Consider the following 20,067-nt stretch of genomic DNA (forward strand, 5'->3'; position numbering starts at 1 on the left):
AGAGATGGAGTTGGATCTATTACTCAACCCTCTCTAAACCTTAGTTTTCTCATCTGTAAAATGCAGATGATAATAGAAGCTTTGTCATGAGATGGTTGTGGTGGTTTCATGGTGCTATTTCCTGTAAAGGAGTCACGTAGCACCTAGCACAGGTAATTACTCAATATGAAACTGAGAAATACCACATGAAGCCCTGTAAATCTATTTACTCTTAAGAGTCTCCTTGATAGGTTTTCAGCACATTTTCATATTCAACATTAATATATGCACATTTTTGAATAAATTGCATAAATATTTATTATAGTGGCACTTTTCTTAGAGCTAGGATTTCAAAATATATACAATGAGAAATTTCTATTCTTCTGCTGACTATTAACTATTATCATTAGATTATAAAATGAAGAATAACAAAGGCTTTTTTTAAATCCAAGAGAACACAGAATTTAATCAATTATTCTAAGACAATACAAAGATGCAGCCTGTTCATGCGTACAATTTTATATCAATTATCATGGGAAAATATTGAGATCATTAAAGCAAAGCTCTAAAGCTTACAGAAGACTAATCTGATATTAGTGAAAAACATGAATTGAAAGTGTTTCCAGAGAAAAGTAGTGGTATTGCTAAAATGTTAGTTTTATTGGAGAAAATTTAATGGTTACATTAAAAATATATAATAACTATTTGTATTTAATGTATATTTTTCTTTTTCTGTTTGCCTTCTTAATTTGATTGGCAAATCCTTCCCTCTAGGGATTCCGGTAGTTATGGTTCTGTGGAGGCCCTGCTTCACTTATCACAAACACCACCAAATGGAACTGAATTAAGGAAATGTTACTGAAGGTTAGACATGGAATGGGACTCTGGCTTGAGACGCTCATGTTGATCGTTTACAGTTAAAGGCAGTCATATGAAATAGTATAATGAAGTGAAGGGGAGTAAAAGAGGAGAGAGAAGAAACGTAGTTGCATGTGAAGAGCATAAGTGTACACCATTCTGTTGTGCCCAGGGACTGCTGGGCAGAGTGTACATTTTAAGAAATCTTTGTTGTTAAATAAGTGAAGGGATGAATTTTGTTGCTCTCTGAAATTAAGAAAACATATAGTATTCTGTTAATTAAAATAAGGTGTTACTGGACGGGAGGCTAAGGCCGGAGAATGGCGTGAACCTAGGAGGCAGAGCTTGCAGTGAGCCGAGATGGCACCAGTGCACTCCAGCCTGGGTGACAGAGCGAGACTCCATCTCAAAAAAAAAAAAAGAAGGATTATATGTTACTGGGATATTATCAGCCATAAAAAAGAATAAGATCATGTTTTTTGTGAGAACATGGATGGTGCTGGAGGCTATTAACCTTAGCAAACTAACGCAGGAAGAGAAAACCAAATACTGCAGTTTACCACTTTTAAGTGGGAGCTAAATGACAAGAGCATACGGACACCTAGATGAGGACAACACACACTGGGGCGTTTTGGAGGGTGGAGGGTGGGAGGAGGGAGAGGACAAGGAAAAATAGCTACTGAGTACTGGGCTTAATATCTGAGTGATGAAATAATCTGTACAACAAACCCCCATGACATGAGTTTATCTATATAACAAACCTTCACATGTACCCCCTAACCTAAAATAAAAGTTAAAAAATGAGTGTTGCTTTGCATGTTGCTTCTGGGAGTACACATTCATATGACATTTCTGAAAACCACCTGCCCATACTTTCCACAACTCTTATCCGTGCATGCCTATTAGTCAGCCATGCTTTCCACGAGGAATCTATTTTAGATGATAGACACCAAACGAAAGACTTACACACTGAGATATTCAATTTGTTATTCTTAATTAAAAAAAACCCTAAACATTAGAAATACATTCACCAATAAGTACATTGATAAGGTTAGTATGCAGACATGAAGATGATGCCCCTTTGCCCTCAAAAATGTCATGGGAAAATGTTCCCATGTTAACTGAACACAGTTGGGTGCAAAATATTACACTATGTAACTATTGATATGAATGTATTATTTTAAAATATAAGACTGGGCCAGGTGCGGTGGCTCACGCCTGTAATCTCAGTGCTTTGGGAGGCCAAGGCAGGAGGATAGCTTGAGGCCAGGAGTTCAAGACCAGTCTGGGCAACATAATGAGACCCTGTCTCTATGAAATATATGTATATAGAGACAGGGCTGGATCCTGTCTCTAAAATAATAATAATGACAATAAAAACATAAGTCCATTCAGGTCATTTCTTTCTTTTAAATTTTATTTTTATTTTTAATTTTAATTTTAATTTTTGAGATGGGGGTCTCACTCTGTCGCCCAGGCTGGAGTGCAGTGGTGTGATCTTGGTTCACTGCAACCTCCGCCTCCCTGGTTCAAGCAATTCTCCTGTGACAGCCTCCCAAGTAGCTGGGATTACAGGCGCATGCCAAGCCAAAACACCTGGCTTTTTTTTTTTTTTTTTTTTTGTAGAGATGAGGGTTTCACCATGTTGGCCAGGCTAATCTCGAACTCCTGACCTCAGATGATCTGCCCGCCTTAGCCTCCCAAAGTGCCGGGATTACAAGCGTGAGCCACCATGCCCAGCCATTCAGGTCATTTCCGTTCTTAAGATCTTGCAGGAGCTCTGCATTTTATTTCAAGCAAAATTGTAAGTCCTTGCCACGGACTACCAAGTCCTGCATGCATGGACCGTCTGTTACCTCTGTGACCTTGTCTTTTTGCCTTCTGCCTCTATCGAATCACTCTGGCCACACTGGCCTCTCTGCTGTTCCTAAAACAGGCCAGGCACAGTTGCTGTCTTAGGGCCTTCCCTAACTGTTGCCTCTGCTGGAAATGCTCCGTGCGTTGAGATCTGCACATCTCACTTCATTATTTCTTTCAGGACTTTCTCAAATGTCACCTTCTCAATGAGACTTCCTCTGACTCCCCTAACTAGAATTGCCACACAGGCCTCTTTATCTCTGTTTGCCCAGTCTCTCCCACCCTGATCTATTTTTCTCAGTATCAGTATGATGTTCCAATGTTCTATAGAATGTATTTGTTTCCTGTGTTTATTATTTATTTTATGTGCCTCTCCTTGTGTGCTCCCACCCCATGCTCTATAGATTATAAATTTCATGAATGCACTTATCTTTTTTGGTTTTCCACGATGTAGTTCCAGTCCAAGAATAATGCCTGGCATATTGTAAATGCTCAGGAAATGTTTGTTGAATCAATGAGTTCATTAAAACAAATACATACATAGTTTCATATATAGAAACATGAAAATGTTAATAGCAGCTATCTTTGGATAATGTAGCTATTTGTGATATTTTTTCTTGCCCCTTTCTATATTTTTTATATATTTAATATATACTATTTTGTGACTAGACAAAGTTCTTTATTTTAAAATGGGTGATATAAAGGTATTTTGAAATCTAGTGCCTATAAACAAATAGGCATGTGAAATGAACAAACAGGAAATGTGAAATTCTATTACACTTAAGAGTTCTGAGGAAATTTTCTGATTATTAAATAATGCTTTCCTTTGAAATCAAATGAAATTTTCAATCTTAATACATAGGTTACTGCTTTGATGATGAGTTGTCATGGGTCCCACCAAAGATAACAGATAATTTAGCTGCCACAGTAAAGGGGACTGATGTGATTGGAAAAAGTGACAAAACCAATAAAGCCAGCAAATACTCCTTAAAGCCAAAGATAACATCCCACGGCAAAAGCTTTAGTCCTGACTGAGAAGGATCCTTTATCACGGATAATTGTTTATGAGTCTATGTGTTGCCTCCCCCATATCTCTGAGGGATGAGGCTGTCAAATGATTTCTAGTTGTATATGCAGATAGGTGGTGAAACGAAATCAAACTTGGACAATCCTATGGAGCACTTCACTGATTCTGGATAATGAGACTTAAACCAAGAGCCAAACCTCTTGGAGCCGGCTGGATAGTTTCTGACACAGTTTAAAACAACAACATCATCACACCACAAAAAGGAATGCTCTTAAAAGCAGTATCTTCTAATCTCCTAATGTGTAAGAATGGCCAATACTACTGGTTTCATTTTTCTTTAACTACTTTAGTGGACTCCAGGATTTATTGAGCCCTTTGTTCGATTTACTGTCCTTTCTATATTTTCTATACATTTAGTATATATTATGGGGACTATTTAGAAAATATTTAAAGCCTGTAGAAAAATTTTTAAAGAAGAACCAAACATGCAGCATGTTGAAATTGGATTAAAGAATATTCCTTAAGAAAGAGTTGGGAGGATAAGCTTGCCCAGGTGATTTTGGCTCCCATTTTGGCAGGCATATTAGGATTCAATGAATGGCTCTCCAGAATGTACCTGGAGTTTCTATCATTACAATTATAGATTATTTCCACTTAATTTAGGTAACAATTCCCATCATGAATGCATTTTCCAACTTGTTAGGTATTAAAAAATTATAAATAAAAATATAGTAAACTTAAAATAGAAGTAGTTTTATATCAAAAACATTTAGCAATGAGAGTATAAACAGAACTGAGAAAGCGGGAGCCATGTTGGCCTGCACAGTATTAAATATTTTAAATTAGCTGCCAACAATTGAAGACTGAAAGAATGTACCTAAAAAAGACTGAGTTTCTGTCTTCTCTGGAAAATGTGGTAAATGGGGCTACACTGGGCAGTAATTGGCAAACTCGGGACCCCTCTAAAGTGTGGCTTGTGGGCCTACTCCTTTTCATTACAATTATTGGCCTGGAAAATATTTAATTACATGATCCTCGGATAACAAACATCCCAGACATATTTTTCATCTTAGGTTTTCTCCCCTCAGATTTTTTTGCTTTTGTTTTTGCCTTTCACGTTAGAGAAATTGTTTGGTTTTCTTTTTTTTCAAAACTATGTTTAGAGCAATTTTAGGTTCACAGCAAATTTAACAGGAAGGTCCAGAGAGTTCCCATGTACCCCCTGCTCCTCCACACACATCCTTCCCATTGTCAATATCCCCAGCCATAGTGGTACATTTGTTACAACGGATGAACACCCATTGACACATCGTAATCACCCAACACCCACAGTTCACATTAGCGCTCACTTTTGGCCTTGTGTATTCTATAGGTTTGGAAAAGTGACACATATATCCACCATTATGGTATTAAACAGAGTGAGAGTATTTTCACTGTCCTAAAAATCCTCTAGCAAGCTACTTATTACTATTTTTTTTAACTTTTATTTTAGGTTTGGGGTTGCACGTGAAGGTTTGTTACATAGGTAAACTCGTGTCACGGTAGTTTGTGTACAGATTATTTCATCACCCAGGTATTAAGCCCAGCACCCAATAGTTATTTTTTCTGCTGCTTTTCCTCCTCCACCCTCAAATTAACACCATTGGCTGTTGTTTCCTTCTTTGTGTGCATGTGTTCTCATCACTGATAAGTGAGAACATGCAGTATTTGGTTTTCTGTTCCTGTATTAGTTTGCTAAGGATAATAGTCTCCAGTTCCACGCGTGTTCCCGCAAAAGACACGACCTTGTTCTTTGTTAACGACTGCATAATATTCCATGGTGTATATGTACCACATTTTCTTTAACCAATCTGTCATTGATGAGCATATAGGTTCATTCCATGTCTTAGCTATTGTGAATAGTGCCAGTAAGCTACTTATGCATCTGACAAAGAATTGGATATTTTCTTCCTCTTGGAGACAATATCTATAAAAATAAAATTCAGTAATTATATCTTCACCCCTCAATGTTAATATGTACCAATCTCCATCTTAAGGCACATTTGCATTTTAGATTGAAGGAAGGGGGATTTTCCAATTTAGGTGGAGTTGAATTAAAATTGCCATATTTTATTTCTAAATTTGTTATTTAGTTCTTGAGATGAAAAGAATATCTGATTCACTATTGAACTCCACAATATACTTAGTGCAATGCCTGACAATTAGTCAGTGCTCCATAAATGTGGTAGGGTCAATAATGGCACCACTTAAAAGATCTTGTGATTTATCTTTAAGTAAGTTAATAAAGATGATCTTTTAATTATAACTCCATGCTTTTGTCTGTGAGAGTCTATAGTCCTGAGATACCAATGTTAGTGAATCTATCAGATAAGTAGAAATCATACATATAAACCGTGAGTGGAAATCTCATAATTTCTGTTTTTTAAAAATCAATACAAGATGCATATAGTTTACAATTGCAATATTTAAAACCAGTAGAATTAATGAGGCAATGTATAACAGTATCTACACATTAAATACATATGCCACCTGAGAAGACTGGCAGTTAATATAAATATGTCAAAGTCTGAACATTTCTTATGCCATAAGGTGTGGTGAAGATACTACTATGCAGAAGTCAGAAGACTGGAACTTGGGTCCCGACTGTCACTTTTACGAGTTCGACCTTGGGAAAATTCCCTAATCTCCCTGAGCTTCAGGTTCCTCATCTGTGAAATGGGACTCATATGATTCACTTTACAAGCTTTGTTGTTACCGAAGGGAGATAACTTCAGTCAATGGTAATAAACATACTTTATAGAGCACCTATTTTGCCCCAATCATTGTGACAGGATTTTTACATTTGCCACTTTAAATCCCCACAGCATCACAGTAGGGGAGGTGCTATTTGACTATTACATTTCTAAGGAGACTGAGACTCAGGCTTAGCATTTACTCAGTTGCACTTAATCAAGTGCAACTTGATTTACTCAGGTGCACTTAATCAAGTGCAATTTGATTTACTCAGTTGCATTTAATCAAGAGGCTTAATTTGGAATCCGAACCTAGACGAAACTGACTCCGGCCTGTGCTCTTTCCTGGATGCCCTGTTGTCCTCACAGAATACAACGTGCTTTTGTCCCATACTAACTGTCTTTAGAACTGTTTTTCTTTGGGGTGCTCTCGTTTTATTGAGATACTGGAGCCCAGAGAAGAGCAATGCAGACAGGAGTGAGGGTTAGCATAAGAAGCTGCCTCTCTGGCTGCACCAGGTTGTATGGCTACTCTTGCTGAGAGAAGAGGGGTACTTGGGTCATTGAGGGGTATCCCCCAAACACACTGCCAGTCCTAGGTTTCCATGCAAGTAGAAAACCATCCTCCTTTTGACATTTGAGGAAAGAGGAATGCTCTGCCTAACTAAAAATGTCTGCCACCTGTCTAGTCTTGTGCTGAAAGCCCTAATTCCTTACAGTCATCTAAGATAGAAGAAGGTAGCAGGATCGGGAATTGGCCACAGAATGGGTAAAATTTGATGGTAAAGAAGAGGGAAGGTGTGCAGCACAGTTTGCTGTCTGGCTGAAGTGCCCTAAACAAGGACGCTTGCAAGGACAGGGCCAAAACCTGAGACCTGGGATCCCAGAGGCCTCATGGGATGCTGGAATGGAAGAGGAGGCCCTGATCACGACTTGGCTTTATAATCCCCTGGACCCCACACCCCACAACCAACCTGGATTCCTGGGAGTGTCTCCTGGTGGGCAAGGCAGCAGAGAGGCAGGTAGGTGAGTTTGGTTCAACTACCCACATGGCTGACGGAGAGGACCACACCCACAATAAGGGAGTTACAAACACCAGCAGATTTGGAGAGGAAGCAAGAGAGGAGAGGGTAGGGGGAAAAAAAGAAACACAAGTTTTAGTATTATTTAAGAGGAAAGATGCAGATCTCACCAGGCTGTTTTAAAAAGAACACAAGTAGCTAGATGGTGAAGATGTAATCATTTTGTTAAAACTCAGGAAAGAGTTGAAAGTTTGCAAATATATTTCCAGATAACATCTGTCTTGGGTAATACGCTGGATTTGTGTCTGATTGAGCTTCATATAATTGATGCATTAAAGAGGTAATTTACATCATGTGGATAAAACTTTCAGGACCTTCCAATTTGTTTTATGAATATCTAGATAAGAAACACACTTTGTGTTTCTCAGGCTTAATATTCTAATAGAGAGAATTTTAAGACCACATAATTTATGAACATTTATTTCAGCTTTTTTGTATGACTTGTTTACTTTGACTAAGTCTCTACACAATGCTCACCTGTAAGGCATGCTCTAGTTCTTTTTTGCAATGCAAATCATGCAGATCAATAGGATATTACTTCAAATCTCAAAAGCTAAAAAGTCATTATAATTATGAAAAAATAAAATCAATGATATCAATGTATATAGAAGCAAGAAGTGAATAAGATGTAGTCAGTGAAATTATCTTTACATCTCATTGCCTGATAGTCACTGGTAAATCATTAGAATTCAATACGATTTTACTGTGTGAATGAGAATGCTGGAGAAGAACTAAGGTAGTAAAATATCAGAGACATAAAGGCAGGATACCTGCCTTGTGTGGAGGGATTGGGGAAGAGAGCATTAGGGAAGAAGGAGCAACCATCTGTAGTCACAGAAGAGGATCTCCAATCTAAGCCACTTATAATTCTCTCTGGAAAGGTCTTGCATGCTTTTTTTAGATTTATTCCTAGAAATTTCACATTTATTGATAACATTATAAATGGTTTCCTTTTTAAAATTTTCCCTTTTTTTGTGACTCATATGAAAAATTATTTATGTAAATTTTCTGATTTATATTCAGCAAACATCCTAAATTTATTTATTCAGTCTAATAATGCATAATTTATCTGCAGATTATTTTTTTATTTTCTATGTACACAATCAAATAAACTGGAAATGCTCAGATTTGGTTTCTTCCTTTCTAAATGTTTTACTGTTTGTTTCTCATTTTTGCTTTACTGCTTTGGCTAGGACCTTCAGGAAATGTTGAATAGAGTAATGCAAAAATCCTTAAAGTTACACCACCATGTATTATGCTTGCTACAGGTTTCTGTAGATACTGTTTATTAAGTTAAGGAAGTTCTTGTCTGTCTGTGGTTTTCTAGTGCTTTAATTTTATTTGTTAATTTGATTGATTATAATAGTTGATTTTCTAATGTTAAACCAGGCTTGAATTCCTGAGATAAACTCAGTTTTATAACAATATTATCTTTTTCACACGTTGTGGAACCCAACTTTCTAATATTTTGGTTGGGCAGCTGTTCTTTTGATCATGAATGAGACTTGCTATATTTCCTTTGTTCCCCTGTCAAGCTAATTCAGGACATTTCTATTTTTCTACTTGCTGGGAGAATTTGTATACTATTGGAATTACCTATTTATCAAATATTTGGCAGAATTCTCCTGCAAAGCTATCTGGGAGTAGAAATTTTCTGTTAGAAGGTTTTTGATCACAGAATCAAATTAATGTCTGTAGACTATTCGTGGTTTCCATTTCTTCTTGAGTTACTTTAGTAAGTTATATTTGTACTCAAAATTGCCTGTTTTATCTAAATCTTATTTTTATGTATCAACATAACATTTTAATAATGTTATATTATTGATAATACTTTTGTCTGTAATATCTATAATGATGTTTACTTTTTTTTTCATTTTTATCATTGTTTTATGGGCTTCTACCCCTCTTTTAAAATTAAGGATACCAGGCATTTGTCAATTTGATTTGTATTTTCAAAGAACCAACTTTTGATTCATTTATTCTCCATAGTCTATGTTTCTTTTTTTGGAGACAGGGTCTCATTCTGTCGCCCAGGCTGGAGTGCAGTGGTGCCATCATGGCTCATCACAGCCTCGATCTCCTTGGCTCAAGCAATCCTCATACCTCAGCCTCCCAGTAGTTGGCACTACAGGTAAGCACCACCATGCATAGATAGTTTATTTATTTATTTATTTTATTATTATTATTATACTTTAAGTTTTAGGGTACATGTGCACAATGTGCAGGTTAGTTTCATGTGTATACATGTGCCATGCTGGTGTGCTGCACCCATTAACTTGTCATTTAGCATTAGGTATATCTCCTAATGCTATCCCTCCCCGCTCCCCCCACCCCACCACAGTCCCCAGAGTGTGATGTTCCCCTTCCTGTGTCCATGTGTTCTCATTGTTCTATTCCCATCTATGAGTGAGAACATGCGGTGTTTGGTTTTTTGTCCTTGCGATAGTTTACTGAGAATGATGATTTCCAGTTTCATCCATGTCCCTACAAAGGACATGAACTCATCATTTTTTATGGCTGCATAGTATTTCATGGTGTATATGTGCCACATTTTCTTAATCCAGTCTATCATTGTTGGACATTTGGGTTGGTTCCAAGTCTTTGCTATTGTGAATAGTGCCGCAATAAACATACGTGTGCATGTGTCTTTATAGCAGCATGATTTATAGTCCTTTGGGTATATACCAGTAATGGGATGGCTGGGTCAAATGGTATTTCTAGCTCTAGATCCCTGAGGAATCACCGCACTGACTTCCACAATGGTTGAACTAGTTTACAGTCCCGTTAACATTGTAAAAGTGTTCCTATTTCTCCACATCCTCTCCAGCACCTGTTGTTTCCTGACTTTTTAATGATCGCCATTCTAACTGGTGTGAGATGGTATCTCATTGTGGTTTTGATTTGATAGTTTAAAAAAATTTTTTTGTAGTGATGGGATCTCATTCTGTTGCAAGGCTGGTTATTTTTTCTTGTATTAATTTCAGGTCTTATTATCATTTCCTTTCTTTACTTTCTTTGGAGTTATTTTGTTGTTTTTAAAATCTCAGAGGATAGGTGCTTATTATATTTAGTATTATATTTAGCCTTTTTTTAAAAAGTACACTTTTAAGACTATATGCGTTTCTCTTAAAATGGCTTTATCTTCATTCTACAGGTTTTGAAATGTGGAATTTTTATTATCCTTAAATTCAAATTACTTTCTACTTTTCATAACAGTTTTGTAGCTCTGCATGCTAGTGAAAGGGTATTTTAAATTTGTTATCCATTTAGAAATTTTCAATTTGTCTGTATTTCTATTTAAATTGTATTGTACTCAGATAACATGTTTCACATGACATTAATCCTTGGTATTTGTTGAGAATTGCTTTATTCTCCACTATGCATGGCCAATTTCTGTAAATGTTACATACTTTCTAAAGGTTTCGGTTGTAGTATTCTATATAGTTGCATTAAGTTAAGCTGGTTGTGATATACAAATCTTCAAAGTTCTTTATAAGTTTTTGAATAATTTCTTCTTGTAATTCTGTTTGATTTTGCTATTTTTATTTTTGAGGCAATTTTATTAGGTGAATAGAAACTTAAAATAGCATATCTTGCTGGCAATGTAGGTCTTTACCATTATACTTTATTTCTAGCAATGTCTTTCCATTTTAAAGTTCCTTTTGCCCAGCTGCATGTTTTCTTTGGTTAGCCATTGGATGATATATATTTTTCCATACTTATTAGTATTTCATGTTTTAAATATATCTTATTTTGTTTAATTTTTTTAAAAATCCGGTTGATAATCGTTGTATTTTATTTGCAGCATTTAGTTCATTTACTGTTAATGTAACTGCTGATATATTTGGGTCCATTTAATGTCTGCTTTCCTACAATCCCATCTCTTCTTTATATTCTTTCTTCAGTTGCATTAGTCAAGTTTTATTATTTTTTGGCCTAGTGTGGAAGTTATACCTTCTTTTTTTTTTTTAGTAGTTATCCTAAAAATATAATATGTATACTTACCTTATTATGTTCTAAAACTAATTAACATTTTTATCCTCCTCCTGGTAAGTACAAGGATCTTAGAACATTTTAACTCCCCTAATATGGTTTGGCTGTGTCCCCACCCAAATCTCATCTTGAATTGTAGCTCCCATAATTCCCATGTCTGTGGCAGGGGGGACCCAGTGGAAGATAATTGAATCATGGAGGGAGTTTCCCCTATAACTGTTCTCGTGGTTTTAAGTCTCACGAGAGCTGATGGTTTTATAAGGGGTTTCCCCTTTCACTTGGCTCTCATTCTCTCTTGTCTGCTGCCATGTAAGATGTGCCTTTCCTCTTCCACCATGATTGTGAGGCCTCCCTAGCCACATGGAACTGTGAGTCAATTAAACCTCTTTTTCTTTATAAATTACCCAGTCTCAGGTGTGTCTTTATCAGCAGTGTGAAAACGGACTAATGCACCCTCCTAACTTACATTATTGCCTACATTTTTATTATTTTTGACCCCACAGGTTATTATTAATATTGTTTTATACAATCATTATTTGCTTAGATTTGCTGAATATTTAAAACTTTCTTCATTTTTTATTTCTTTTTGTATTTCACACATCATATCTGAGATTGTCTTTCTTTGGCTTGAAGTAAATCCTGTGTAATATTCTTCAGTGAGAAGTAACTTTCTCAGTTTTTGTCTGTATAAAAATATCTTTAGTTATTCTTGCAAGATCTCTTCACTGATATGGAATTCTAAACTGCGATTATTTTCTTTCAGCATGTTGAAAGTATCACTTTATTATCTTTGGAATTCCATTGTTGCTTTTGTGAAGTCAAGTATCAGTCTAGTTATTTTTTAAAAAGGTCATGTATCTTTTATTCTGGCTGATATTTAAGATTTTCTGTTTATCTTTGGTGGTCTGATGATATTTAGCTGGTAATTCCTTATTTTCTTATCAACTTTTCAATACTTTTAAAATGTTAAATTTTTTTTTGCAATTTTAGTCATTTTCAGCAAGAGGACTGATGAATAATTTTGTCATATTTCTGGAACAGAAATTCACAGGCATTTAACATTTATCTGACAGTGTTGGGAAAAACACAGAGAAGGACAGCGCCAGCGGGCTTAAAGAAAAATGTGGATAGCATAAGAGAGACTTAATAATATTTGTGAGCAGAAAAGACTAAATTAGACAGAACTGGCCTATTGCCTGAAAAGCTTCCCAGAAAGAATCAGAAGTAGTTGGATAGAGAAGGATGGCAAATAGGATGTCAATCTTTGATGACTCCTCACTCTCGCTCAGTTAAAAAAGCAACTTAAAAATGATCAGATTTTAGAATGAGATGCAAAAATGAAAAATAGAATCAACCATCTACTTTCTCTTTTCTCACATAAATTCACTCAACCAAAAGTAAATAAATAAATAATTAATAAAACGACAGACAAAATGCAAATCTTCATGTAAGTCCTAAACTGTAATGTTTAAAGACATTGCACTTACAAGGGGAAAATATACCTGCATTTTCCATTTCATGAAAAAAAAGTATGTGAGCCAAATCAACATTTAAAACATTCTTAACTTGTAAAGAATATTAGGGAGATTTTATAGAATTCCCCTTAGTTTTTATATTTGAAGAAAAAAATTAGTTAAAAATGGTAGTTTTAATTTGGACAGCACTTTAGAACTTAGAATAGTCAATATTACTTATTAAATTCTATTTTTGTACAATTTGTAAATAAACTCTCTCTCTCTCTCTCTCTCTCTCTCTCTCTATATATATATATATATATATTTTTTTTTTTTTTTTTTTTTTTTTTTTTTTTTTGAGATGGAGTCTCGCTCTGTCACCCAGGCTGGAGTGCAGTGGCACGATCTAGGCTCACTGTAAGCTCTACCTCCCAGGTTCACGCCATTCTCCTACCTCAGCCTCCCGAGTAGCTGGGAGTACAGGCGCCTGCCACCATGCCTGGCTAATTTTTTTTTTTTTTTTTGTATTTTCATTAGAGACGGGGTTTCACCATGTTAGCCAGGATGGTCTCTATCTCCTGACCTCGTGATCTGCCCACCTCAGCCTCCCAAAGTGCTGGGATTACAGTCTTGAGCTACCTTGCCCAGCCATAAATAAACTATTTTTAAGCCCATTACCCATTCAAAAGGGTTATTATTTAACTCACCCAAGAAAACCATTTTTAAAAAATGGTATAGCAACATTCCTCCTTTTTGTGTAAGTTATATTTCTAATTACAATGCATTTCCCAGGTACCATTAGGCATTAGCAAGGTGTTTAATTATACTTTTTCATCCAAGTTAACCTCAATTATTGTGGTTTCACTGAAAGTTTTCTTATTTAGTTCCTAGCTGTACCTTTGCCCAATTCATTTTCTTTCAGAAGATGAAATCAATACCTGAGATGGGACCAGTACATCTGTTTAATGGTTAACAATGATTACCCTTTTTATTCATTCAGCAGTTACCATTGTTCATTTTTTTTTTTGGGTGAGACAAAAGTTCGTGGAGTAAGAATTATTTGCTTTCTAAAGGTAGATCATTAATAAAGTAATTGAGTAATAAAATAATTGAAATGGAGATAATTAAACAGCCATAACCTATATGCAACTATTATTAATGGCAACCTGAAGCATTATGCTCCATATAAATCATAAAAACAGAAAAAGTTTACTCACTATAAAGACCATAAACCGGATATGATATAAGTATGTGTTTCAGGTTTTATAACTCCATATATTTCCAAATAGCCAAAGTTCAAGAAACTTTGACTTGCTCCTGGAAACCACATTTCATCTTTTCTGGAGGAAGCAGAGCATGAAATTTTCCCGAGGCTGAGCAGATGAGGAGTTTCCTCATTATTAGGACAATATAGCCATTGGCATAGCAGGTTTATGCTGTTGCCTCATTAGATGCCACTGAGAAAACTGAATTAAGAGCAAAAAGTGAGCAAGTCCAACTATGGTGATTATGTAAAGAGACTTCCAGATGTCTTAGTACTTTAAAACAATGCTTCTCTTATTCCTAAAATGTCCAAAAGTGCTATACATATATCTTTGAGAGAAATCCTATAAATGTAATATTTGTTGCAAATAATAGTTGCAAACAGGCAAGAGAGCTTCTGTGTGATGCAAGCAAAGAGGACAAAGCAAAATCTCAAAATTTAGGAGCTGGTGTTTGTTGTAGCTCAGGGAGAAATCTCAGCAGGTCATCCAGTTTATTAGCCAGCTTCTAGGCAGAGTGGAACTGAATGTGTCCTATATAGAAGAGCATTGTGGTTAGAAATGTCTTCCCTTGTGAAGGATTTAAACTAAAATGTGCCCACTAAGAGAAAAAGACTCTTATTTTTCCCTCAAGACCTACTTTGTAATAAGATCTTTTATGTATACTTTTAGTGTTTACATGATAATTGCCCCCCAAATCCGACATATATGTTTCACATGTAGTTACATTCCAGTTGTGATAAAATAGCCACAGGAACTGAGAGGATACTTTATTTTTATTAGTGTTCCTAATGTACTGGCTCAATTCTTCTCCACTGTAGATGGAATGAAGTTTATTGCTTTAAGCAAAATTACCAGTGCAGCAATAAATTGTCATGGTTATATGTCCCGGGCCTTCTTGTCACTGATTCAAATTTACTTCTGAGCTCCTCATTTTCTAAGGTAAAGTCTTCTATAAATACACAGGCATTTCATTTCTCCTTAAACACTCAATCAAAATGGGATATCTTTCTAATGATTTGTTAACAGTTCCATAAACAACTTAAAAGTACAACAATCAGAAAGAACATAATCCTTTCTAAGCAATTGTAAAACCAAGTAGAAATCTGTGTGCATGTTCATTCTTTTATTCTTTCAACAAATAGCTACTGATATGGTTTGGCTGTGTCCCCACCCAAATCTCATCCTGAATTGTAGCTCCTATAATTCCCTTGTGTTGTGGGAGGGACCCTGTGAGAGGTAATTGAATCATGGGAGTAGGTCTTTTCTGTACTGTTCTTATGATAGCGACTAAGTCTCACGAGGTCTGATGGCTTTATAAAGGGGAGGTCCCTTGCACATGCCCTCTTTGCTTGTCACCATGTAAGACGTGGCTTTGCTCCTCTTTGCCTTCTGCCATGATTGTGAGGCCTCCCCAGCCATATGGAACTGTGAGTCAATTAAACCTCTTTCCTTTATAAATTACCCAGTCTTAGGTATGTCTTTATTAGCTGCTTGAGAACAGATTAATACAGCTACTGGGCAGCAAGCACAGTGCAAGGAGCTCAAGATACTGCAGTAAATAAAGCAGACAAACATCCCTACCTTCGTGGAGTTTATGTTGTACTAGAGAAGAGAGACAGAAAAGCAATAAAATAAATAAAAGTAAAATATGTAAGATATGAAGGAAAATAACATTTGAATATTACTCTTATAAAGTAAATATTTTCACATAAGTTGATAGTTTTCTTTGTACACAAATAATAAGAATCAGGTCAGGAAACATTAATAAACACATTCAGAGTAGTCAACTAATTTTGCCAAAGTCACACAGTAGGTCATAGAATATGATCTTAAAACCCAGGTCTTTCAATTTCATGCCTTGGGATTTTTCCATTACAAAATACTGCCTACACAGCACCAAAAGTAAATTACATGTTTCCAGAGAGCTGTATATTGAATATCATGGAAATAAAAATTCAAATGATCTGAAAGATTGAATGTATATTTGAATATTCCAAGGTTTTCTACTCATAGCCTCAAAAAAGAAAAAGGCAGGACCCAATTAATAAGAATGGAATGGAGCAGCTGGATAATTAGCAATAGTACACCTGTTATTACTCCTTTTTAGTTGTCGTTTTTTTAATAGACTTCTCTTTCAGAGGGATTCTGAGTCTATTTGTCTCATTGCAGGCACTTCTACTACCTTGGTTTATGAGTATGGGGGTAAAGGAGGTGTCATTTTGCGGGGAAGCTTACGGAGGAAAGCTAAGGGGTAGTACATAAGTCTGTTTTACAGTTGCAGGAAATGCCTTCATTGGAGAGTTTTAGAAGTAAAACATGGAGGGCAAAATATTTTCAGACTGTTTAGGTGGCCACAGAGGTGTAGTAGTTGTTTTGTTCAAGTTGGATAATTATGAGTCTTAAAAGAAAAAAAAATGTCACCAAGGAAACAAGGCACCAAGTTTTAGATAGTTTTACTTTTTATTAAGCCATGGTTATTAGCCTGCTGTAGAATGCATGAGACCAATGTGGAAATGCCAAGGGCACAACAGCATGTCAAGCTTAATGAAGCTCACTGTGACTGACACACTTGGAAAAGGTCAAGAAGTGTGCAGCAGAATGGACAACACACAGATTCATTTCTTCCATGACTGTGCACTCAAGCAAAGCAGCATGGAGAATTGAGCCATTATTCAGTGAAATTCATCAGCATTCTGTTCAATGTTGACCATACATTCAAGCAACTCTAATTTACTGCCCAAATTGTCCACTATCTGCATTCTTTACCCACTTTGCTCTTTTTAAGACCAGAGAGGCTGTGTGGAAATACAATACACATATATAAGATAATTGTAATTGTAATTTACTTCTTTCTTTTTTTTTTTTTTTTTAGCACAGTCTATGTGATTTTACCCCTTACAATAGTGCCAAGAGAGCAATTGCATCCCAGCTCCAGTCTGAAAGTGGTTAAAGTAGCCAGGAGTGGGAAGAACCAGAGACAAGTTTAAATTGTGTCCTTGGGAGTATGAAAGGTCAAAGTCTGAGACACTGAATTCTCTGGCCAATTCTATGGAGTGAACTTAGGGCCCACTGGGAAAATAAGAAAAATATAAAAAGATTCAAAATTCAAGAAGAATAGAATTGGGAATGAAAAAGGGAGAGCTATTCTTAACTAGTTCACCCAAGTGATCCCATACCTCTAAGATTTTCAGTCTAGATTTATATTCTCACTGCAGATCTTTCTCTTGAGCTTCAGATTTGAATACCCAATGGCATGTTGGATGTCTACATCTACATATTTCACATCTATTTCAAATACAACTTATTTCAGTCTGCTCTGCCTTTCCCTAGGACTTTGCTGCTCAGTTTTTGGCATTACAATTAGCCCAAATTATCTAAACTAAAGAAAAATTGAATTTACCCTTGAATCTCTTTTCCCTCACCCCAATCAAATACCAAATACTTCCAATTTTGCTCTCCGAATATGTCTTGCATTCCGTCCCCTTCTTTCTGTTCTTAATATCACTGAATGGATTCAGTCCGTCCTTATGTGGCAGAGATGAAGAAACCAAGACTGAGGGATGAAGTAATTTACCAATGGGCGGTGATGGAGTCAGGGTTCCAGTCTGGACTGTAGGGTCCATCCTCTCCCGACTCTGAGCTCTCCCCTGCTGTCCCACCCTGCCTTTACCAACTCAGACACTGTCCAGTTTCCTAAATATGGTGTGAAGGCAAAAATTGTACCAAAGTTAAATAGATAAGAAAGACTTTATTTGAGGCTATTGCAATGAAGGAGAACTCCATTTCTTAAATAGGAAATGGAACTCATTTCTGCTTAAACAAAGAGCAGGGGAGTTTTTAAGAGCAGGGTTGGGGGTGAGAATGAAAACCGTAGGCCATCTGTGTTTGTTAACTGGCCTTATCTAAAGGAAAAGTAAACTTTCTCGTATCTTCATGAGAGGAGGGGCTTGCAAAACTGCAACTGGAAACAACGCACCCACAGAAGTTAGGCTCCTACCCTCCCACAGAAACTGGAAGATGGGATGCTATCTCCCTGCATGTTTGCATTTCAAGGAGGTGGCTCCCGGGTCTTTAAAGAAAGACATCCCTGGGTTATAAAATTGAAAAGAGGCTTTTAAAAGGATTTATGTCACAAAAGGTTAAAGAAATAACTTACAATTACACATTTTCTAGAGAAACTGCTTTAAGAAAATGGAGATCTGGGCCTAGAGTCAGGAAGTATATGTGAAGTTTGGCCAAACTGAGGGACATATTAAGGTCATCTTCTATAGACTACAGGGGGCTTCAATCATCAAGCCCTTCCCTTCGTCTCTGCTCTACTTTCTCACCACAGAGAACTATGTATTTTGCCTCTGTGTCATCATCACTATGTCTGTGGAACTAATTTTTATGTAAGGGCATCTTTGCAGTCTCCTTCCAGACCAATCTGTGGTTTGTTGACTGCTACTAGGAATCTGTTCTGGGGCTAGGAGCCTGGAGCCAGGAGCTTCTTGTTCATTTGGAGAGGAAGTCAAGGGAACCTGACATTCCCTATCCTCAGCTGCCAAACAAGATCTTTAACAGAAAAACCTCCATCACTTTGAAGAAGACAGAAATCAGCCAAAATACAAATTAGAGTGGAGGAAGTTTAGCTTAATTTGGAGTTTTCAATGAACATGAGAATTGATGCTGTCAGTGGAATCTGGCATGGAAGCAGGGGAGGTAGAATATTGTATCAATCATGTCCATCTTCCCCATGATTATACAATTTAAATGTTCTTTAGCTAGATCTATGAGTACCTTCTGAATGAAATACTTTAATATATTTACTTTGTTACCGGTAAACTTTTATATACCAATTGTATTAGTCTGTTCTCACACTGCTATAAAGAACTGCCTGAGACTGGGTAATTTATACAGGAAAGAGGTTTAATTGACTCACAGTTCCAAATGGCTGAAGAAGTCCTCAGGAAACTTACAATCATGGCAGAAGGGGAAGGAAACATGTCCTTCTTCACATGATGGCAGGATGGAGAAGCATCGAGCAAAGAGGGAAAAGCCCCTTATAAAACCATCAGACCTTGTGAGAACTCACTCACTATCATGAGAACAGCAGCATGGGGGGTAATCGCCCCTATGATTTAATTAACTCCCACCAGATCCCTCCCATGACACTTGGGGATTATGAGAATTACAATTCAAGATAAGATTTGGGTGGGGACACAGCTAAATCATATCACCAATCAAAGATACTTGATGGGACAATGACTGCTTTTAGGTGAACTTTTTCAACATATTTTAAACCTCTGCATATTTGTGAGTTAATAAATACTTATTTTCAGTGCTCTGAACTCAGTGTCCCTGTCCTTATACTGACTTTCTTGGCCTTCCAAATAAGATATTAGCATCTGAGTTCTCTGCGCTCACAGGTAAACTTGGCCCAGATAACATTTATGTTTCATTTATTTGTCTAACGAACATTTGTCAGATCTGACATTGTGTCAAATGCGATGAGGCACTGTAGATGCAAGAGTGACAAAACTTAGATGAATCTTCCTTTCAACAAGCTCACAGTGAGTGGATAAGGTAGGTGTTAAACAAATAATCACATAAACAAGTACAAATGTGTCACTGTCATGAACTGTGAGGCACTGATACTTAGCAGGGATTTGACTTAGTAAAGGAAGTCCAGGGAAAGCTTCACTGGGAGTCTGGCTTATAAAGGATGAATAGGAATTAGCTAGGTAAAGAGACCCAGTAGGTAGGAATGACTAAAAGTAGGTCAGTCTAGCTACTGCGTAGACAGTGAGAGAATGTGAAAGTCAGGAAAAGCCTGGATAG

At 36.5% G+C, this 20,067-nt stretch overlaps 1 protein-coding gene across 6 annotated transcripts in view; it reads right to left on the minus strand.

Moving 5' to 3' along the window:
* SPHKAP (SPHK1 interactor, AKAP domain containing) overlaps nucleotides 1-20,067 on the minus strand; it is a 201,733-nt gene that overhangs the window by 161,272 nt on the left and 20,394 nt on the right. For 3 of the 6 annotated variants that reach the window (XM_006712778.5, XM_006712777.4, XM_011511925.3), the window contains one exon: nucleotides 7,428-7,506. The exons of the other annotated variants lie outside the window; for them this stretch is intronic. In XM_006712778.5, coding sequence (XP_006712841.1) covers nucleotides 7,428-7,506 — 79 coding nt within the window. The remainder of the gene's footprint in view (nucleotides 1-7,427; nucleotides 7,507-20,067) is intronic. 6 annotated transcript variants of the gene reach the window in all.

This window comes from Homo sapiens, chromosome 2 (assembly GCF_000001405.40).
Source record: "Homo sapiens chromosome 2, GRCh38.p14 Primary Assembly".
NCBI classification, from domain to species: domain Eukaryota; kingdom Metazoa; phylum Chordata; class Mammalia; order Primates; family Hominidae; genus Homo; species Homo sapiens.